Here is a 23,362-nt window from a genome sequence, read left to right on the forward strand (position 1 = left end):
AATAAAATTCTCACCTTGTTCTATAATAATGGTACTAAGAACTATAAATTAGCTGGTGGTTCTCGACCTAGCAATCATCATCATCATAATTACCTGGGAGTTAAAACACAGGCTTTTATGATTTAGCAGGTCTGGGGCCTGAGAAATTGCATTTCTTACAAGTTTCCAGTTGATGGGATAGTGCTGGTCTGGGACCACACTTCAAGAACCCTGAATTAGGTAATCCACATTACACATTCAACAGAGGATTTGGCATACAGTAAATAAATGCACAACAATAACTAGTTATCAGCTAACGTTTTGTTGAGCACTTACTGTAAACCAGGCACCCTGCTATTTCTACATATTACCTTATTTAAACCTCATGGCTTCCCTGAGAGGTAGGTGATGTGATGCTTGTTTTACAGAAAGGGAAACTGAGGTCCAGGGACAACCAGAAGTGACTGAGCCTGCACGTGCACCCAGTTCTGACTTGGAAGCCCACGCTCCATTCACCAGCAGCCCCGCCACACTGAGGACTGAGCTAGTCCCAGCTAGCTGCCCCGCCCCTTTTTAATTTTAACTTTGTTTGAGGAAAATCTTTCAATGTGTCTCACACGTCCCTGCCTTCTTCCAAGTGAGCTGAATGCAGATCAACTTCCTCTGCATGACTCAACAGCAGCATTTTGAACATCAGTGACAGTCATTTTCCAGAGTGTCTGCACTGGGCCTCCTCCAGGGGCAGCCTGAGCTGTGGCCTTGGACACCACCTCCAGTTCTCTTCCTCCAGCTGCCTTTCCCAGCTCCATCTGAGAAGTCGAGGCCAGGACAACCCAGCAGTTAGCCCAGTGAGTAAGACCCAGGAGGCCTCATGTGTAGTCTGGGGGCTTCTGGACTGCAGCCCAGGGGAGCACCCACAGCTGGGAGGCCCCTCGGCCCTGACCTTGGCCCTGCTTCCTTAGAGTCAGCCTGGTGGCTGAGGCTGCTGGAAATGGACCCTGTGATGCAAGGCACTACAACTGACTTTCTTGTTAATATGATAGTTCTTCCCCACCACCCCTCCTCCTCCAAACCATCCAAACTTCTAGTTCCTTCTTTGTGGCTGGCATTACTGAGATTTCTGGTATTATTGGTGCACAGAGGATGTGTGGAGTGCGGTAAGAACATAGGCTGCCTAGGTCTGGCCCAGCAATGCTGCCAGCTGATGACCTTCGGTAACGTGTCCAAGCTCTCTATGCTTTGATTGCCTCATTTGTCAAACTGGATTGATGATAACATACTTATTTTAGGGATATTGAGCTATTGTTGAATTAGATACAGTCATGTGCCACATAAGGATGTTTTGGTCAAGGGCAGACCACATATACAAAGGTAGTTCCATAGATTAAAATACCCTATTTTTTCTGTCCTTTTTCTATGTTTAGATACACAAATACTTGCCATTGTCTTACAGTTGCCTACAGTATTCAGTCCAGTAACATACTGTCCAGGTTTGTAGCCTAGAAGGAGTAGGCTATCCCATAGAGCCGTGGTGTGTAGTAGGCTTTACTATCCAGGGTTGTGTAGGTGCACTCTATGATGTTCACACAATGATGAAATCACCTAAGGATGCATTTCTCAGAATGTATATCCATCATCAAACAACACATGACTGCATATACTTTCAAAATAGTGGCTGGCACACCGAAACTCTATTTAAATGTTAGCCAGGATTCCAAAATCGAATCCGTAAATGATTCTGGAGTGTCTACTAGTAACTCCAGCCACCATTTACTCAAACAGCATGTACCAGTCATTGTGCTTTGCACGGGTCACGTCATTTAAGGCTTGGAGGAGCTAGGCACACCCCCCTTAGTTAGTGGGGTGCTCGTCTCCCAGGCCAAGCTGGCCTGTCCAGCGGTACCCCCTCTGCCTCCCTTGTGGGGCAGGCTCTGAGCTGGACATTCAGCAAGGAGGCTTAGCCTCCCCCATCCTCTGACCATAGCCCCTGCCCTGCCACCTCTCCCCTGCCTGACTCATTTCTCCTTTCCTCAGATGCTTCTTACCGAAAAAACAGCCTCCTGTTGCCCTCCTCTCCTGGGTCCCCGGGCTACTCCAAGCTCTGCTCTTGCCCAGCTCCCCTTGTCAATCAAAACAGATTCAGCCTTCACAGGAAGCAATTTGGCATCTGGTATCAAGAGGTTTAAAATCCTCTTTCCTAAAAATGCCACTCCTAGGACCCTCTCCTAAAGAAGTAATAAAAGATGCAAAGAATGATGAACAAAGGTGATCTTCACATTCATAAGATACAAAACGTTAAAGGATCTAAGTGAGCAATAATTGGAGAATGATTAGATAAATGATGCTGTACCCACGTACTGAAGGATTATACCACAAACGTGAACAGCAGAAGAAATGTTTGTTTCATGCATTTTCATCATCCTTGGATGGTAGCGTCTTTTTAAAAATCTTTGCTTAATGGAAACACAAAAGAAGGGCATCTAGTTTCTACTTTATTTTTATTTCTTTGACCCCAGTAAAGATGGACTTTTGAAGACTTGTCCATTTTTATTCCTTATAAACTGCCTATTTATGCCCTCTTCAATTTTCTGTTAATTTCATTTTTCTTATTTATTGGTTTTATGTATTCAGTTTATTGACCACTTATATGTCATATTTATTGCAAAAATTTCCCTTAGAATGTAGTTTCCTTTTTTATTGTATTACTGATTTATTTTTATACTATAGATGTTTAAAATTTTAAATGTCCAAAGCTATTATTTACTCCTTTATCGTTTTTGTCTTTGGTACAATGCTAATATGATCCTTTCTCATCCAAGTATTATTATTATTTCCTTTGAATACCTTTAGGGTTACACCTTAAATTTTTTTTTTAATGTTTCTTTTAGAGACAAGGTCTCGCTCTGTTACTCAGGCTAGAGTGTAGTGGTGATCATAGCTCACTGCGGCCTTGAACCCCTGGGCTCAAGCAATCCTCCTGCCTCAGCCTCCCTAGTAGCTGGTGCTATAGACATGTGCCACCACACACAGCTATTTTTTTTTTCTTAGAGATGGGTCTCACTATGTTGCCCAGGGTGGTCTCCAACTCCTGGCCTCAAGGGATCCTCCCACCTCAGCTATTCACAGTGCTGGGATTACAGGCATGAGCCACCATGTCTGACCCAGATGACTTTCTATTCATAAAATAAGGGAATGGAATTGTCTATACCTCATGCCATTATATTGAAGATTAAGTAAACTAATGTATGGAAAGCTTTAGAAACAATAACTGGCACATAGTCGTTTCTCTGTCATGGTTAGCCTATTGTTAATTTAACTTTAATTCATTGGAAATTTATTCTGGAGTGAGGTGTGAAGGGTGTTTTAGCTTTGTGTTAAGCCAGTTGTCCCAACACCACTTTTTCAATAACATACCCTGACCTCATCAAAAAGCCTGTGGCTGGAATGCAATCTTTTTGCTGATTCTGAGCCACATGGGGAATTCCCTTTACAGAGCTATGAGCTGGGGAGGAGGCTATTCCCAAATTCCCTGCTCATCCTCTCACTAATACTCTTCCCTATGCTAAGTTCACCATGGATTTCCTAAGGATAGGGTGTGGAGCCAAACACCCTCAGCCTGACTATTCTCTCCTTTCCCAGCCCAAGTTCAGGCTGTCAAAGTCAAAATAAAAATATAGAGATAAATCTCTAAATTTAACATTTTATTTGGGAAGCAAGAATTGCAATTCAGGGCCAGTGATCTTCAGAACTTCCGAAGAACAAAGAGAAGGTTAGAGGTTTTATAAAAAGGAGAAATGGCTGGATGTGTTGGCTCACACTTGTAATCCCAGCACTTTGGGAGGCCAAGGCCGGCAGATTGCTTGAGCCCAGGAGTTCCAGACCAGCCTGGGCAACATGGTGAAACTCCATCTCTACAAAAAATTTAAAAATTAGCTGGATGTGGTGGTGCACACCTATAGTCCCAGCTACTTGAGAGGCTGAGGTAGGAGGATCACCTGAGCCCCAGGAGGTTGAGGCTACAGTGAGCCATGATCATGCCACTACACTCCAGCCTGGGAGACAGAGTGAGACCCTGTCTCGGGGAAGTTCTGATTGGTGAGTGATGGCAGTGGTTAAAACTAGTCTTAGAATAACAGCAGGCTGTTTCAGTAGCCATTAGACAAAACTGGTTTCAGTTTATGAGAACAGGCAGTTTCGGCAGCCAGGCTTGCAGAGAATTACATTTTTGGAGCAACGTTATATTCCCTGGGTGTGTTTTCCCCCAGACTCTCTACTCTGATTTAATTGGGTATGATAAGAACGATACAATTTGTACGACCAATTTTCACAAGAGTTTTGTATCCTCAGTCCTTCTACAAACCCTCCTCCTTTTTCTTTCACTTTCTCCCCTTGGGCTACTGAGATCCCATTTTCTCTAACCACCCTGGTGCCACAGCCCACGGAATCTGCTGGGTCAAGGTCAACAACGAACCCCCCTGCCACCCCCAGCCCAGGCCAGCATGCCCAGGTAGAAGCCAAGAGGAAAACAGTGCCTCCATCCTGCACTGGGTGGTGGTGACGGGGGTAGGGTGCTCCCCTCCCTTTGGGAAATATCCAGCCAGGCTTTCTCGCCATTGTCTACCAAACTTACTTGTCTTCCCAAGTAAAGGCCAAACCTCCATCTGAAGCTCAAGCAGTGTTAATGCCTCTCCCTTCGTAACACCCACCTCTGCAAGGAAGTTCTTCAGACGTAACACACATTTTTGCGAGGGGCATAGTATCAAAGATTAGGAAAGGAGATAGGTGATGCCTCTTTTTCTTAGGCAAAGAGCTGAAATGCTACTTTCTGAGTGAGGGCTCACTATGTGCTGGGCAGGGCCAGATGGCTGCACAGCCCGGGGGGGTACCTGTTGACATGACATTTGTGTGAGGGGCACCTGCTGGTCCTCACAGCAGCCAAGGTACATGCTGAGAATCCTCACTACATCCTGCTGGGGACAGTAAAATTCTCTCAGAGAAAGAAACCGAGCTTCAAGGCGAGGACTCAGACCCAAATGTGTCTGATCCATTCCATGCCAACCCTAGACAAGGATCAGAGGACATTTCCTCACCATGTGGCCTTGGGCAAGTTATTCCAATTCTATTGGCCTGGGTTCCCTCTTCTGAAAAATGGACATCCTACTTACTTTTGAGATGTTGTGAAGATTAAATGAGTTAACACATTCAAAGAGCTTAGAATAGTAGGTGGGCTCGCTCCTTCACAGTTGCTTTAAAAAAATGTTTAAGCATTATCAGCATTATTACTCTAGTAGCAGCAGCAGTAGATACTATCCCGGTTGAGGTTTCCTTGCCAACCCAACACCTGGGAAGCAGGACCAGTGCCCTTCTCGTCCACCAGATGGCAGCATCACAGAACGGACAGGCCCTTTCTAGCTGCCTCTGTGCGCACGATTTGTAGGGAAGCCCTCCAGCTTCCCCAGAGGCCTGGGAGAGAACCAGCAGCTCCTCCAAAGCAGGATATCAGAAGTCAGGCTCCTTCACCCACTGGCCCCTGTTCTCAGCCCAGCTCTCTAGGATTTCCTGCCCTAGGACTGCCCATATGCAGATAATGTGCACCCTGGGGGCCCAGGGTCTGGATCTCCGCAAGTTCACCATTTGTATTTGCCAAATGCTTCGCACAGCACCAGGCCGAGGAACCTTCTCAGGAACTGTCTGATGAACCCGCTGGGTCTAAACTACCCCAACGAAGGTCCAGCTCTTTCTGGGTGCTTCCTGCTGAAAGCCACCCCAAACCCCTCCCGGCTGACCTCCAGTGCCTTCTAGGGGTTGGCTGCTCCATCTGCTTCCGGCCTTCCACGTAGACACAAGGACTGTGGGGTTCCCAGGAAGGGCTTTCAGAAAGACTCTCTTGGCTCCATTTTCACAGGCTTCATACACACACACACAGTCCTACCATGGCCTCTACCTTGGGAGACCCCAAACCCTGACCTCTGGGCTCTGGCCTGCTCACTTGCAACCAGCATTGGCCATGTCGTGTGAGGGCATGCTGCCTTAGATCACAGATGGAGCTTATTAAAAGGGCGGTTTCCAAAGCCTCACCTAGGGCCAGTGGTCCTCAAAGTGCTGTTCCAGGACAAGGGCAACACATCTCATGGGAACTTAACAGGAAATGCAAATTCTCCCCACACTCCCACTGAATCCAAAACCCTGGGTTGGGGTCGAGCAAGCTGTGCATTAATACACCCTCTAGGTGAAGCTGCTGTGCGGGGAAGTATGAGACCCACTGGCCTGCCCTCTTCCCTTCTTCTGTGGCTGCAGGATTCGTCTCTGCAGATGGTGCCAAATCTCTCCCTCCAGCACTCCGGTGGGTCTAACTCATCATCTCCAAGAGTGGTGTGGTTGGTGGGTGATGTAGTGCACCACCTGACACAGTTGTGGTCCACATTTTTCCAATATGATGGTGCTCAAAGCTATTGTGTCTTAGTTTTTAATCTCGATGAAAATATGTAATGTTTTCATTACAGTTGCTTAGCAAATAGAACCCTGACTTGTGACAGCTGTCTCCACAAAATATCAAGTTACATGAGCTATCTTGTTTCCAACAGCTGTAATATTTTTCTCCTCCAAGGAAGGAGGAGACATTGAGGTGATCCTGTTATAGAGAGGAGAGGAAGAGATGCAGATGTACACACACACACACACACACACACACACACGCATGCATGCACACACATGCAATGTCACTGAGAGCCCTTGCTCTGAGGAAGGACCAGGCCTGGGATGGGAGCAGGTGTGGTACCTGGAGGATTGAGAGGTACAGCCCCATACTTAAGGAAGCTCACAATCTCGAATGGACAGATATGCTTTTGGCAGAAAGTGTGAAGAGTTAATTTCCTTCCCTGCCACTCCCCTCCAAGAAAAGAGCTTCATGGAACTCAGAATTGCTATCCAGATCCTCCATACACAGAGTAAGGGAGAAAAGACAGACTTATTTCCTGTGAAAATGGATCTGGTGCATTATGTAAACAAGTCTCTCTTGATGCTGGAAGCTGCTGGAAAATTAATTTTTTGTAATTACAAGTAAACTTGTATGTTTCTCAGAAACTGTCAACCAAATTGTCATGATTCTATAAATAGAAGTGTAGTGGATTGAACAGTGGCCCCAAGAAGATGTTGACCTAAAAGGAAGAAGATGAGGCAAAATTAATATAAGTAGAGAGTGTATTTGGGCCAAGCTTGAGGATTGCAACATGGAAGCATAGATACAAGTTGCCCTGAATACACACTCCAATTAGCAGCAATTGCAAGTGGAGTTTTAAAGGCAAAGTAGGGGACAGGGAGTGGACTGTACAAAGTTGTTTGTCAGGAATGAAACCACCTTTGCAAAAATTATAACAGTAAGAAAATTATGACAGTGAAAGAGATCTGACCTAACCAACCTCCATTTTTCCCTTTTACCTCCAAACTGCCCTTAATCATTCCTGGACTTGGACTAAACTAACTGTGGAAGGCATTTAGTTTATAGTTTAAATTATAACAGCCTTTGCCCAAAACTAAACCACCTTGGTAAAACTAATGAAAGACCACCAGGTTAGAAGGATGAGGGGAACCTGACTTCTGGTAGGGTGTAGACGTAAACAATTACAAGCCATTATTCTAGAGGTGACGAGATTTGCAACTTCCCCAGTTACTCCTGCAGATAACATCACTCTTGTAGAACCCAAGATTGGCCTTTTGAGATGTCTTTTCAGGTTTTTGCATTTCTGACAAATGATAGCTCCACCTAGACCCTCCAACTGGTCCTGTGCCCCCACCCAGAAGTTGACTGAGCATGCACGAAGACCATTTTCCACACCCTGATGATTGCGTCCCCAACCAATCAGCAGCACCCATTCCCTGGCCTGCCAAACTATCTTTGAAAAATCCTAGCCTCCAAATGTTCAGAGAATTGATTTGAGTAATAACTCCATCTCCCATATTGTGTGGCTGGACTCATGTCAATTAAATTCTTTCTGTATTGCAATTCCATAGTCTCAGTGAATTGGTTTTGTCTGTATAATGGGCAGAAAGAACCCATTAGGTGATGACAGGAATTCTCACGGGCTTACAGAAATAACATTGATTAATGATTGGCTACACATTGTTAAGCTATGGAGTGTGGGTTATAGGTTAATTTATAGCTACTTGTGGCCCTAGCAAGTAGTTTCAAGAGATGCATGTCAATGAAAAGAGCCAAACTCTGTAAAATATTTGAAGAGATTTATTCTGAACCAGATGTCAGTGACCAAGGCCCATGATACAGCCCCAGGAGGTCCTGAGAACATGTGCCCAATGTGGTCAGGCTGCAGCCTGGCTTTATATGTTTTAGGGAGACATAAGACATCAATCAATACATGTAAGGTATGCATTGGTTTGGTCTGGAAAGGTGGGACAACTTGAAGGGAGAAGGCTTATGGGTCACAAGTGGATTCAAAGATTTTCTGATTGGCAATTGGTTGAAAGAGTTATTATCTAAAAACCTGCAATTAATAGAAGGGAGTAACTGGGTTAAGAGAAGGGATTGTGGAGACCAACGTTCTTACTATGCAGACAAAGCCTCCAAGTAGCAGGTTTCAGAGAGAATAGCTGGTAAATGTCTCTAATCAGAACTAAAAAGGTGCCAGAATCTTAGTTAAACTCTCCTGGATCAGGAAAAGACCTGGAAAGGAAAGAGGGTTCTATAGATTTTCCCCACAAGAGACAGCTTTGCAGGGTTATTTCAAAATATGTGAAAGAATCCGGGCGCAGTGGCTTGCGCTTGTAATCCCAGCACTTTGGGAGGCCGAGACAGGTGGATTACCTGAGGTCAGGTGTTCGAGACCAGCCTGACCAACGTTGCAAAACCCCGTCTCTACCAAAAATACAAAAATTAGCCGGGTGTGGTGGCGGGCACCTGTAATCCCAGTTAACTGGGAGGCTGAGGCAGGAGAATCACTTGATTCAGGAGGTGGTGGTTGCAGTGAGCAGAGATCACGCTGTTGCACTCCAGCCTGGGCAACGAGAGTGAAACCATCTCAAAAAAAATATATGTAAAAGAAATATATTTTTGGGGTAAAATACTTTGATTTCTTTCAGGGCCTTTATCTGTCATGTGATGCTATACTAGAGTCAGTCTGGAATTTGGTATCTTATTGCTACAAAGAGTCTGTTTTGTCACTCTTAATATCTCTGTTTTAAGGTTAATGCTGATTGGCTGTGCCTGAATTCCAAAGAGGGGAGGGTATAGTGAGGCATGTCCAACCCATCCTTACCATCATGGCCTGAACTACTTTTTCATACTGACTTTGGAATGCCTTTGGCTGAGAGGAGGGATCCAGTCAGTCAGTTTGGGAGCTTAGAATTTTATTTTTGGTTTACACTTACACAGCTCAAAGTGGGGAGTAGGGCGTGATTGCTGTCTTATTTTAATGCTTCTCTGGGCCTAATAATTTCAAAGAGCTCACATTCCTCCACTGAGAGTCCTTTTCTTTCCTCAAAAATATGCCCAGGTCCTAACCTCCAGTACCTAGGAATGTGACCTTATGTGGAAATAGAGTCTTTGCAGATAGAACTAAGGATCTCAAGATGAGATCATCCTGGATTTATGGTGGGCCCCAAATCCAATGACTGGTGTTCTTACAAGAGAAAGAAGAGAGAAATTGGAAACACATAGAGCAGAATACCTTGTGAAGACAAAGGCAGGTGTGGCAGTGATGCATCTACAAGCCAAGAAATGCCAAGGATTGCCAAGCCACAGAAGCCAGGAAAGAGGCATGGAGTGGGTTCTCCCTCAGAGCCTCCAGAAGGATCCATGCTGCCAACACCCTGATTTTGGACATCTGGCCTCCAAAACAGAATAAATTTCTGTGGTTTTAAACCACCCAGTTTGCAGTAATTTGTTACAACAATCCCAGGAAACTAATTCAAGAATATGATGTGGTATTTTGTGGCAACAAATTGTAACCTGAGGGGTTCTTCCAGCCTGCTGCACAAAGAAAGACCACAGCATTGCAGCAAAGAAAACAGTTTAGTAGACATGAAGCTGGCCATACCACATGGGAGATGGAGTTAGTACTCAAATCAATCTCATCCAAAGCTCCTTTCTCAAGGGCGGTCTGGGGGAAGGGGTGGGAGTGGCTAGGCTTGCTGCTGTTTGGTTGGAATAGAGATGAAATTATAGGGGTCAAAGCTGTCCTCCTAGGCACTGAATCACTTCTGGGTGGGGCCACAGGAGCAGAATTGGTGGTTCCAGGTGGAGCCATGGGTGTCAGACATGCAAAAAACCTGAAAAGGTATCGCAAAAGGCAAATCTACAATAGTGGTGTGATCTGCAGGAATGGCTGACGATCTATGTCTACACCTTAGCAGAATCAGCCTCCTCTCTGCCCCCTAGGCTGATGGTCTTTCATTAGCTTTACAAAGGTGGTTGAGTTTTGGGGAAAGGCTATCATCATTTAAACTATAACCTAAACATCTCTCAAAGTTAGCTGGGCCCAAAAGCCCAGGAACAATTAGGGAAAGGCAAGATGGGTGCCAGGGGGCAGGGGAGGGGTTAAATCAGCTCACTGTTATAATTTTTCTCGCTCTTATAATTTTTGCAAAGGTGGTTTCAAAATTTGAAAGTCTAGAAAGAAGACATGATTCTCTGATAACATTTTATATTGCCAAACATGACTCAGAAAGAAGTAGAAAACTTGAACAGTTCAGCAATAATAGAAAAATGTGGAAAATGTGTTAAAGATTTATCACTTCACAAAGCACCAACCTGAGATTATTTTACTGCTAAATTTTACTTAACTCCCCCAAAGAAACAATTCTCTTACTATTCAAACTATAAAAGACTAGCAAGAAAAGTCCCAAAGTCATTTAGTAAGACTAGAAATACCTTAGCATCAAAGTCTGGTAAAGCAAGCAGAGAAAATAAATGAGAAATTTCACTTATAAAAATAGATGTAAACATTATAATACTAATAAATCTGACAGCATATAAAAGGAATAATCTGCCATATTGAAAGCAGTTCTTCCTCATATCTGAGTTTTGGCATAAGCCCCTGAGGAAAGAAAAATAACTCTGAGCAGTGTGAGTTATGTGAGGTTTGCAAAATTCACCAGCCCCAGAGAGACATGAGTATGGGACTTCAGTGACACAGAGGGGATGGGTGCATGCCTCCATGCCCACCTGGAGTGATTGTTTAAAGGCATTTTGTTCCTAACTAGCTGCCTCATCCATTAATCTTCATGTTCTTGGAATTTGTGATAACAAAGAACAGTGTATAGCAGCCAATCAGTAGCTTATGTTATTTTAATGTAAATTCTTGGTAAACAACTTAGGAACTGCCTCTTCTTTTCCTTTAAAAACCTACTAATTGGCTGGGCGAGGTGGCTCATGCCTGTAATCCCATCACTTTGGGAGGCCAAGGAGGGCAGATCACGAGGTCGGGAGATGGAGACCATCCTGGCTAGCACAGTGAAACCCCGTCTCTACTAAAAATACAAAAAATTAGCCCGGCATGGTGGTGGGCGCCTGTAGTCCCAGCTACTCGGGAGGCTGAGGCAGGAGGATGGTGTGAACCCGGGAGGCGGAGCTTGCAGTGAGCCGAGATAGCACCACTGCAGTCCAGCCTGGGTGACAGAGCGAGACTCCGTCTCAAAATAAATAAATAAAATAAAATAAAATAAAATAAAATAAAATAAAAAACCCACTAGTCACTGCTGCTAATCAGAGCGTATATTTAGGGCAACTTGAATCTATGTTCCCCGGTTGCAGTCCCCAAACTTGGCCCAAATAACTCTCTACTTATATAAAGTTTGTCTCAGTTTGTTTTTTTTTTTAGGTCAACACCCCAAAGGCCAAGAACAAGAGCCAGCTTGTCAAGTCCTCCCATTCTTGAGGGAGACAGCTGGCCTCTGTGCCAGCCTAAGAGGGCCCTTCAGACCCTGAGGTTTCCTTCAGAGGCTGAAGAGTGAGAGTGAGGACATCTTTGGATAGCGCTGTCAGTGAGCATACTCCATCTGGCCTTCTGCCTCCCCTCCCTCCTCAAGTCAAAAGAGGGTCTCCTGAGACCTGAGGGACAGAAGAACTAATACAAACTCAGGGTAAGAGGCTGTGGCTGGAGCTGCCCTTCTGTGGTGGCAGATCATGGGTGAGGACTGTCTGAAGGAAGGCCTGCATTTCCAGCCTTCACTGGGTAACAGCATGTGCATATTTCCTGTGGGCGCTGTGGAAGGGAGTGGTATTTAGTAGGGATCCCCACACTTGGCAAAAGAACAGCCAGGAGGCTGAGGGAGAAGTCTACATTGCCAACTTGAGGAGGTGTTGCCTGGATCAAAGGTTCTGTAAGAGAGGGAGCCTCAGTGCTGGGGAGTGGGTCCCCCTCCGTAACTATAAGTGCAACACCCACTGAGGGTGCCAGCACCAACTAACAGTGGCACCAAACTAGTAGGGACTTCCTGCTCCTCATCTCTCCTCTCTCCCAGAGGGCCCCTGTGATGGTTAATTCCATGCATCAACTTGGCTAGGTCACAGGGTGCCCAGATAGTTTGTTGCACTTTTTTTTTAGTGTATCTATGAGGGGGTTTCAGGAAGAGATTAGCATTTGCATTGGTAGACTGAGTAAAGCAAATGACCCTCCCCACTGTAGTGGTGCATCATCCAATCTATTCAGGTCTGAATAGGACAAAGACCAGAGGAAGGGAGAATTCACTCTCTCTGCCTGACTGCTGAGCTGGGACATCAGTTTCCTGACTTGGGCCTGGGATTTACACCATTGGCTCCCCTGGTTCTTGGGCTTTCAAACTCAGACTGAACTACACCACCAGCTCTCTCGGGTCTCTAGATTGCAGATGGCACACCGTGGGACTTCTCAGCCTCCATAATTGTTACAGGAAAGAAGTCCTGATCCAGACCCCAAGAGAGGGTTCTTGGATCTTGCGTAAGAGAGAATTCAGGGTGAGTCCATAGGGTAAAGTGAAAGTAAGTTTATTTAAAAAGTAGAGGTATAAAAGAATGGCTACTCCATAGAGCAGCCTGATGGCTGCTAGATGCCCATTTTTGTGGTTATTTATTTATTATCTGCTAAACAAGGGGTGAATTATTCATGCCTCCCCTTTTAGACCATATAGGGTAACCTCCTGATGTTGCCATGGCATTTGTAAACTGTCATGGCACTGGTGGGAGTGTGGCAGTGACGACAACCAAAGGTCACTCTCATGGCCATCTTGGTTTGGGTAGGATTTGGCTGGCTTCTTTACTGCAAGCTGTTTTCTCAGCAAGGTCTTTATGACCTGTATCTTGTGCTGACCTCCTGTCTCATCCTGTGACTTAGAATGCCTTAACCATCTGGGAATGCAGCCCAGTAGGTCTCAGCCTCACTTTACCCAACCCCTATTCAAGATGGAGTTGCGGTGGTTCAAACACCTCTGATATAATCACATGAGCCAATTCCTTATTAAAATTTCTGTCTCTGTCTCTCTGTGCATTCAATGATTCTGTTTTTCTGGAGAGCCCTGACTAATCCAGCCCCCAAAATAGCACTTAGGAAAGAGGTGTGGCCAGGCGTGGTGGATTGTACCTGTAATCCCAGCACTTTGGGAGGCTGAGGTAGGCGGATGACTTGAGGTCAGGAGTTCGAGACCAGCCTGGTCAACATGGTGAAACCCTGTTTCTGCTAAAAATACACACACAAAAAAAATTAGACGGGCATGGTGGCCGTGCACCTGTAATCCCAGCTACTTGGGAGGCTGAGGTGGGAGAATCCCTTGAACCCGGGAGGCGGAGGTTGCAGTGAGCTGAGATTGTGCCACTGCACTACTGCACCCCAGGCTGGGTGACAGAGTGAGACTCCATCTCAAAAAAAGAAAGAGGTGAAGCTGCTGTCCCCATCACAGATTTCCCAGCTGAAGGCAGCACGAAGGGAGAGGAGAAATTTAAGTTAGCTAAAAGACTGGAGTTTTAATATTGTTTAATATTGTATTGAACAGGGCTTTTTATTACTAAAATGAAACTGTTCTTAGACAACAAATGATTGGAAAAACTCTGAAAGTGGCCCATGTTTTCATCCCGTGGAGGAAGAGCACACCCCGGTGGGCTTGGAAAGCAATGGGAAAAGTTCACTTTCTCCTTGCACCTTACTGAGTAGACATTTGTGCAACAAACTGGTTCCACCAGGAATGCAAGTGTGGTTCAGTATTAGGATAATTTTTAAACCATGTGATCATACCTGTAGATGTTGGGAAGACATTTGATAAAATTCAGTATACATTCCTAATAGAAAACACTGTATAAAATAGGAATCAGGCCGGGCAGAATGGCTCATGCCTGTAATCCTAGCACTTTGGCAGGCCAAGGCAGGTGGATTGCTGGAGCTCAGGAGTTCGAGACCAGCCTGGGCAATGTGGCAAAACCCTGTCTCTGCAAAAAAATACAAAAATTAGCCAGGGTGGTGGGGCACACCTGTAGTCCCAGCTACTCAGGAGGCTGAGGTGCAAGGATCGCTTGAACCTGGGAGGTTGAGGCTGTGGTGAGAGATCGCGCCACTGCACTCAAGCCTGGGGTCAGAGTGAGACCCTATCTCAAAAATAAATATAAAATAAAATAAATAAAATAAAATAAAATAAAATAAAATAAAATAAAATAAAATAAAATAAAATAAAAATCAAAAGAAACAACCTAACATTTTAAAGACTGTGTACCTGAAACCAGTAACTCATGTCTTTTTTTAAAATTTTTAATTCTTATTTATTTTTATTTTATTTATTTATTTATTTTTGAGACAGAGTTTTGCTCTTGTTGCCCAGGCTGGAGTGCAGTGGCACGATCTAGGCTCACTGCAACCTCCGCCTTCCGGTTTCAAGCGATTCTCCTGCCTCAGCCTCCCGAGTAGCTGGGACCACAGGCATGCACCACCACGCCCAGCTAATTTTTTGTCTTTTTAGTAGAGACGAGGTTTCACCATGTTGGCCAGGATGGTCTTGATCTCTTGACCTCGTGATCCGCCCACCTTGGCCTCCCAAAGTGCTGGGATTATAGGCATGAGCTACGGCGTCTGGCCATGCCTATTTTTTTTAATGCAGAAAAGTACAAAGAAAAACAAAAATCACTCATATTTTCATCACCTAGAACTAATAATTTGGCTATTTGCTTATGGCTTTTTAAATAAAAATTATTATACTGCATAATACACGTTTATTAAAAATAATTAAACTATAAAAAAGTACAATAAAGTTAAAAAAAAAATCACCAACCAGAAACAGTCATAATTGGCCAGGCACCATGGCTCACATTTGTAATCCCAGCAATTTGGGAGGCCGAGGCGGGCAGATCACTTGAGGTCAGGAGTTCGAGACCAGCCTGGCCAACATGGTGAAACCCAGTCTTCTACTAAAATTATAAAAACTAGCTGGGCATTGTGGTGGGCGCCTGTAATCCCAGCTACTCAGGAGGCTGAGGCAGGAGAATCGCTTGAACCAGGGAGGTGGAGGTTGCAGTGAGCAGAGATGGCACCACTGCACTCCAGCCCGGGCAACAGGGCAAGACTCCGTCTCAAAAAAAAAAAAAAAATTAGCTGGTCGTGGTGGTGCAGGTCTGTGGTCCCAGCTGCTCGGGAGGCTGAGGTGGGAGGATTACTTGAAGCTGGGAGGCTGAGGTTGCAGTGAGCCGAGATCACGCCACTGCACTCCAGCCTGGGTACAGAGCCAGACTCCATCTCATAAAAAAAGAAAGAAAGAAACAGTCATCATTAATATCAGGTAAACATCATTTCAGGTATCTTTCCATACATATTTACAGATGGACAGAGATACATGGATACATACATTTAATTTTACTTAAATTTGCATCTGTGTTTGTGAAGAATACTGGTCTATAGTTCTCTCTTCCTGTAGTGTCTTCATCTGGTTTTCATATTAAGGTAATACTGGCCTCATAAAATGAATTTGGGAAGTGTTCTATATTTCCATATTTAAAAAAAGTTTGTATAGTATTGCTATTGTTAAAAGAAAAGTGTTTCATCAAATTCATGAGTAAAGGCTTCTGGGCCTGGATTTCTTCTGTGGGACATTTTAAATTACAAGTTCAATATTTGGAATTAATATAAGGATATTCAAATTTTCTGTTTCTTCTTTGGTAGTTTGTGTCCCTGAAGAAATTTTTCTGTTTCATCTAGGTGGCTCAATTATTTTGCATGAAGTTGTTCATAATATTCTATTCCCTTATCATCCTTTTAATATCTGTGGAGGCCATAGTTATGTCCCGTCTTTCATTCCTGATATTAATACTTTGTCTTTTCTCTTTTTTCCTTGCTTAGTTTAGCTAAAAGCTTATCAATTTTGTTGATATTTTCAAAGACCCAGTTTTTTATTTCATTGATTTTCTCTATTGTTGATCTATGTTTTATTTAATTAATTACTGTACTTGTCTTTATGATTTTCTTTCCTCTACTTTAGGTTTAATTTACATTTCTTTTTCCAATTTATTGAGGTAGGAATGCAGATCACTGGTTTTAGGCTTTTCTTCATTCTAATATAAACAAACATTTAAAGCTATAAATTTTTTTCTTAGCACTGCTTTAGCTGCATCTGATAAAATTTAATATGTTGTTATCATTAGATTAAAATATTTTCCAATTTCCTTTGTGATTTCTTTTTTGACCTATGGATTATATAGAATGTGTTGTTTAATTTTCAGATATCTTGGGTTTTTCTAATTATCTGATTTTTCTTAAGCTCTAATGTAATTCCACTGTGATCAGAGAATATACTCTCCATAATTTCAGACCCTTTAATTATCTGGACTATTATAAGGTGTATCATATACCCTTGAAAAGAAGGTGGTTGGCCATTTTGTTGTACAGAGTCCTTCAAATATCAATTAAGTCAAAATCATAGTGACAGAAAATAGAATGGTGGTTGCGGGTAGTTGGAGGGTGTGGAGGGGAATGGGGAGTTATTGTTTAATGGGTATAAAGTTTTGGTTTTGCAAGAAGAGTTCTGGAGATGGTGATGATGGTTACACAGCAATACGAGTGTACTTAATACCACTGAGCTGTACCCTTAAGAATGGTTAGGATAGTAAATATTATACGTATTTTGCAACAATAAAAAGCTTTTAAAATTATACAGATAAAACACAAACACATTCGTGTTGTAAAAAGTCAAACAAGGCTGGGCGTGGTGACTCACACCTGTAATCCCAGCACTTTGGGAGGCTGAGGTGGGCGGATCACCAGGTCAGGAGATCAAGACCATCCTGGCCAGCATGGTGAAACTTTATCTCTACTAAAAATACAAAAATTAGCCCGGCGTGGTGGTGCATGCCTGTAATCCCAGCTACTCGGGAGGCTGAGGCAGGAGAACCGCTTGAACCAGGGAATCGAAGGTTGCAGTAAGCCAAGATCGTGCCACTGTCCTCCAACCTGGCAACAGAGCAAGACTCTGTCTCAAAAAAAAAAAAACAAAAACAAAAAACAAAAAACAAAGAGTCAAACAATACAAACAAAACCCTAGTTCTTCCTTGACAACTTCCCCATCTGGATATACAGCCTTACACACATTGTGTCTGACCCAGTCCTCATGACCACTCTGTGATATAAATATTATGATCTGCATTTTACAGATAAGGAAACAGAACTGCAGATTCTCTAGTTCCAGAGTCAGTAAGTGCTTGAGTCTCAATTTAAACCCAAACAAATGCTAGAGATTCTGATTTTACCCTGTGCTCCCTAGCCTCCTCCTGTAGGTCAGGCTCGAACTCAGGCACTGAGGCAGAAAGATGTATCGGATACAGCTGCTGCCCCCAAAGAATCTCCAGTCAGACAGAGGGAACAAACACAGAAAATTACTCTAGCTCTGTATGGAAATACAAAAGTAAAACTAATGACACCACCAGGTGTGGAGGCTCACGCCTAAAATCCCAGCACTTTGGGGGCCCGAGGTAGGCAGATCATTTGAGGTCAGGAGTTCGAGACCAGCCTGGCCAACATGGTGAAGCCTCATTCTACTAAAAATACAAAAAGATTAGCTGGGCGTGGTGTTGCATGCCTGTAGTCCCTGCTACTTGGGAGGCTGAGGCAGGAGAATCGCTTGAACCTGGGAGGTGGAGGTTGCAGTGAGCCAAGATAGCGCCACTGAACTCCAGCCTGGGTGACAGAATAAGACCCCATCCAAAAACAAAAACAAAAGCAAAAAACTAATGATACCTACGTAGCAGAGGACATTTATCTTTCTGTTCCAAAGGAGAGATGATTTTGTGAGATACCAAGTTTTTAAAAATAATAAAATTAGGCTGGGTGCTGTGGCTCACACCTGTAATCCCAGCACTTTGGGTGGCTGAGGAGGGTGAATCACCTGAGGTCAGGAGTTCGAGACTAGCCTGGCCAAAATGGTGAAACCCTGTCTCTACTGAAAATAAAAAAAAAATTAACCAGGGCTGGTGGCACACACCTGTAATCCCAGCTACTCGGGAGGCTGAGGGAGGAGAATTGCTTGAACCCAGGAGGCAGAGGTTGCAGTGAGCCAAGATTGTCCCACTGCACTCCAGCCTGGGCAACAAGAGGGAAACTCCATCTCAAAAAAAAAAAAACAAAAAAAAGGCCGGGCGCGGTGGCTCACGCCTGTAATCCCAGCACTTTGGGAGGCCAAGGCGGGCGGATCACGAGGTCAGGAGCTCGAGACCATCCTGGCTAACACAGTGAAACCCCGTCTCCAATAAAAATGCAAAAAATGCGCTGGGCATGGTGGCAGGCACCTGTAGTCCCAGCTACTTGGGAGGCTGAGGCAGGAGAATGGCGTGAACCCGGGAGGCGGAGCTTGCAGTGAGCCGAGATCACGCCACTGCACTCCAGCTCTGGGGGACAGAGTGAGACTCCATCTCAAATAATAATAATAAAATTGTATGTACATTTTCAGTCTTCTTTTTAATTTAGGTCTCAACCTAACTTTCCAAATCAATCTGGCTAAAACAGCCCTGCCCACCATGCCAGTCACTCTCTCTCAGCCTACTCACTGCACTATCTGCAGAGCACTTTTCCTTACCTGCTGTTTTCTTGTACTTTGTTTAAATTTTGGTGTCTGTCTTTCTACACTAGAATGTCAGCTGCATGAGAGCAGTGAGCCTGTCGGTTCTGTTCACCCTGAATCTCTTATGCCTGGAACAGTGCCTGGCACTCAGTAGAAGGCTGTATTCATTTCCTAGGGCTGCAGTAACGAAGTGCCGCAAACTGGATGGCTTAAAACAACAGGAATGTATTCTCCCACAGTTCTGGAGGCCAGCAGGGCTGAGCTCTCTCCCAAGGCGCTAGGGAAAAATCCTTCCTTGCTTCTTTCCAGCTCCTGGTGGGTGCCAGGAATCCTTGACATTCCTCCCCTGTAGTTGTACCACTCTGGTTTCTACGTGTGTCTTCACATGGCCTTCCCTTCCTGTGTCTCCTCTGTGTCGCTATCTCTGAATCTCTCTTTTCTTATAAGGACACCAGTCATTGGACTTAGGGCCCACCCTAATTGAGTATGATCTCACCTTAACTTGGTTACATCTGCAGAGACTCTATTTGAAATAAGATTACATTCATAGGTACCAAGGGTTAGGACTTCAACATAGACACAATTCAGTCCACACTAGTGACCAACGAATATTTATTTGAGCTACTGTTCTTTCAATAGTTGGTATGTAATAGGATACACTCTCAAATGTGTTCAGGCAAAGGCTGTGGAAGGCATTATTCTCCCCAGGTTTTGCTGTGATCAAACCATCTATAAAATATTTTTTTGCTGGTAGTAGTAACTAGATGTCCAGGTCAAGGGAAATAAAGTCTCCAGTGTTCTAGGCACAGATTCCATCCCAGGTAGGGTATAGAGTTTTCAATGCCATATTCTCAATGTTCTCATATATTTAATTTGTGAGAGTAATTTAATGACAAATAAGGTTTTAAAAGTGGGGGGGGGCAGGCACAGTGGCTCACGCCTGTAATCTCAGCACTTTGGGCGGCTGAGGTGGGTGGATTGAGGTCAGGGGTTCGAGACCAGCCTGGCCAACATGGCAAAACTCCATCTTTACCAAAAATACAAAAATTATCTGGACATGGTGGCAAGTGTCTATAATCCTAGCTACTCAGGAGGCTAAGGCAGGAGAATCGCTTGAATCTGGGAGGCCGAGGTTGCGGTGAGCTGAGATTGCCTTACTGCACTCCAGATGGGGCAACAGAGTGAGACTCCATCTCAAAAAATAAATAAAATAAAATAAAAAATAAAATAACTTTAAAAAGGAGGGGGGTGAAATCATAATCCCATCACCCTAACGTACTTTGGAGAAGTTTTAGAAGAGGAACATTCCAGGTAGAGAGAACAGCAAGTACAAAAGCCTTGCAGCATAAATGAGCTTGATGTGTTCAAGGAAAGAAAGGCGATGCAGCTGGGGATGGCAATGTCCCACAGGTCGTCTCAGGCTGGGCATCTGTCTCAGTGGGTGTCCATCCAGTTCACAAACCAACAACCTTCCTTTCTCTAGTAATCCCCCCACAAACTCACTACCTTCCACACCCCCTCCCAAACTAGCCCAGGTTGAGGTGTGGACTTGCTGTGTGTGAAGGATGAAGGGGATGACAGATTCAGCAGGATCCTGTCTCCAAGGGGTTTGGAATTGGGACAGGATAAGGGTCAAGGCAGTCTCTCTGGATTGGTGAGACCTGTGTCCTCCATCTCTGGATGTTGGGGGGAAAGTGCTGTGTTCTGCACTTCAACCAGACAGGCAGGTCAGCAGGGAGGGCCACAAGGATGAGGAGCGCAGTTCTGGCAGTTAGTTTCCTGGTCCATCCATCCTGAGAGCCAGACACATTCTGCCTCAGCTTCCAGGAGAATTCCCAGTATCCCTAGCCTACACTCTCTTTTGCTTCAGCAGACCTGGGTTAACCAATAGAGAAATATTTTGAGGAAAGAATTCTGTGGTCAAATAATCTGGGAAACACTGGGTTAAATAGAATTTAATAACTTTTTGTCTGAAGGACTTCTCAGAGCCTTTACTAGGACTGTGTACATGCAACTCTCAAGAAGGAACTCCAGCGAGCAGCATTTCTTCCGTTGATTTCCCAGGCTACACTGGGAGAATGTTAAGTTGGGGGACTTTAAGCCTCTGTTTTGGCTGAGTCCTGGAAAGCCAAGAACAATAGAGAAGGGTCCAGGTATTCTGACCACCAGGAACTCACGTATTGTTGAAAAAACTCATTGCAGTAAGTAATTTTATCCAAGAGAGAGGATAAAGCCAGAGAGAGAAAAAGAGAGTGACAGAGCAAGAGTCAGAACGAGAACGGGAGACCGGGGCGGGGTGGGGAGGGGGGAGGGAGGGAGAGAGAGAAAAGGAAAGAGAATATTTTGATTGCTATCCATCGGCTCCAGCCTTTCGATAAAGCTGTTGAAACAGTAGAGTCATTCCAAATCACTCTGGTACATTTGTCAACTCCAAAATCACATTCCAGTAATTGATGTGAGCCCTTTCATGTGGCCGTCTGAAATATATGCTATCCGCAAGACGATTTACTATCCGAACTTAAGAGATTCGGAGCTCCACCTGCTCTGATCATTAAAGGGTTAGAAACCATGGGCTTCACCATTGACTCTCAGGCACCTCGGGGCTTCCTCTTCATCTTTCCTTTTATTCGCCGGTCGCTTGCCCTTGTTGGGCGCCCCACAGATGGCCAAGACGGGCCGGTCCCCGGAAGTTCCCCGTCTGATGATGCAGGGAATGACGATCCAAACAGACACCTAGAAGAGAGGATGGGGAGAGAGGGGCAGAGGGTTTTGTGGCGCGCAGGAGGGGCCCTGAGCTCGGCTTGGTGAGGCTGGGGGCTAGGTCCAAGCTTTACAGATGCCAGAGGAGCTGGCAGCGTTGCAGGCTCTAGGGGCCAGTTGGAGGGCCGGGACGCAGGACCTGAGGCTGGGGAGGCCTGGCTGAGCCTGTCCAGGGAGGGCCTCGAATGCCAGCTGAGTCCAGACTATACTGTGTATTATAGACCGCGTGTAGGAAACAGGTTTTAGGTGATGTTTATCCATGATAAGCCAGTTGTACACAGGTGTTGGTGAGTCATTAACCACCTAGGGCAGCACTTGGTCCACCCGGACTGGCGAGTGCACACCTCCGGCTGACGCCTGCGCCACGTGCTGGGGTCGGAGGCCGAGCTCACCGGCTGGTTGCTCTTTAGAGCGGGCAGGAGCCAGGCGGGCGGCCCGCCCCTCTAGGGCGGAGACTTCCGGAGCTGCGGACTCACTGGAGCCGAGAACTGGGGCGGCGCGGCGCGGCGCGGTGCATTTCCAGGCGCTGCTCTCCGTCGCAGAGAACCCTGAGCTCGGCGCGCCGAGAGTCCCAGCAGGGCAAGGGGGCGCGGCGTCCTGGTCCTCGAGCTTGGGAGACAGATGCGCATGGGCGTGGGGGCATGCGGACCTAAGCTCGGGTGAAGCTCTCGGGAAGGGCAAGACTGCGGCGACGAGATGCGAGCAGAGGAGCCCTGCGCCCCCGGGGCCCCCAGCGCCCTGGGAGCCCAGCGCACGCCGGGCCCCGAGCTGCGCCTGTCCAGCCAGCTGCTGCCCGAGCTCTGTACCTTCGTGGTGCGCGTGCTGTTCTACCTGGGGCCTGTCTACCTAGCTGGCTACCTGGGGCTCAGCATAACCTGGTTGCTGCTCGGCGCCCTGCTGTGGATGTGGTGGCGCAGGAACCGCCGCGGGAAGCTTGGGCGCCTGGCCGCCGCCTTCGAATTCCTTGACAATGAACGCGAGTTCATCAGCCGCGAGCTGCGGGGCCAGCACCTGCCAGCCTGGGTGAGCCAAGCCGGGTGGGAGTGGGAGGTGGGGAGATGCCTTTCGAGGTTCGGAGGAACTTGCGGTCAGCGGGGAGCTGGTGCGCGCAAACCCGAGGCAGGGCGGGAGCCCGGCGACCTGCACACCCCGTTCCCCACCGCTCCCGGGGCGCAGACCCTGGGGACGGTGACCGCCCCTCCCGCGGCGCGCAGCACCCTCACGTCCACCTCTGGTCCGACTGCGGTGGGAGTGGGGAACTTGGGTTTCATTTAAGGCCCCAGAGCTCGAGAGAAGAGTCACGGGCAGACCACACCCGGGAGAAAAACAAGGGCGTCTGGGACTTCGCAGACTTACTCGGGTTGGAATCAGAAGGCATTTCTTCCACCCGCCTGTTGATTCAGAGAACGAACGCCGGACGCAAAACGTAGATGGGCAAATACCGCAGTGACAGAAACGGCGGGCCCAGTTGCTTTCGGCCGAGGCCTGGACTGCGGTAGGGGGAGGGCTCCGCGGGGCTGGAGGTGGAGTGGCGGGTACGGCTGGGAGACCGACGGCGCCGGGCCCCGGGCCTCCTTCCCTCCCTCCCTCCGCCGGATAGGGATGCCGGCAC

General features: G+C 46.0%; 1 protein-coding gene across 7 annotated transcripts in view, besides 2 other annotated features; it reads left to right on the top strand.

Moving 5' to 3' along the window:
- Positions 272-772: an enhancer, noted in NCBI's record as "H3K4me1 hESC enhancer chr3:138131466-138131966 (GRCh37/hg19 assembly coordinates)". NCBI's record gives its function as "activates a minimal SCP1, AML or CMV promoter by ChIP-STARR-seq in naive H9 embryonic stem cells {active_cell/tissue: H9 hESC(naive)}" and the evidence as "EXISTENCE:reporter gene assay evidence [ECO:0000049][PMID:30033119]".
- Positions 773-1,273: an enhancer, noted in NCBI's record as "H3K4me1 hESC enhancer chr3:138131967-138132467 (GRCh37/hg19 assembly coordinates)". NCBI's record gives its function as "activates a minimal SCP1, AML or CMV promoter by ChIP-STARR-seq in naive H9 embryonic stem cells {active_cell/tissue: H9 hESC(naive)}" and the evidence as "EXISTENCE:reporter gene assay evidence [ECO:0000049][PMID:30033119]".
- The window catches only part of ESYT3 (extended synaptotagmin 3), a 47,071-nt gene continuing 45,972 nt past the window's right edge, over positions 22,264-23,362 (top strand). For all 7 annotated transcript variants that reach the window (NR_136409.2, NM_001322831.2, NM_001322834.2 and 4 more), the window contains exon 1: positions 22,264-22,773. Coding sequence is in view for 6 of the 7 variants with exons in the window: in NM_001322831.2 (NP_001309760.1) it covers positions 22,447-22,773 (327 nt within the window). In the remaining variant the exon portion in view is untranslated. The remainder of the gene's footprint in view (positions 22,774-23,362) is intronic.

This window comes from Homo sapiens, chromosome 3 (genome assembly GCF_000001405.40).
Source record: "Homo sapiens chromosome 3, GRCh38.p14 Primary Assembly".
Lineage (NCBI taxonomy): Eukaryota > Metazoa > Chordata > Mammalia > Primates > Hominidae > Homo > Homo sapiens.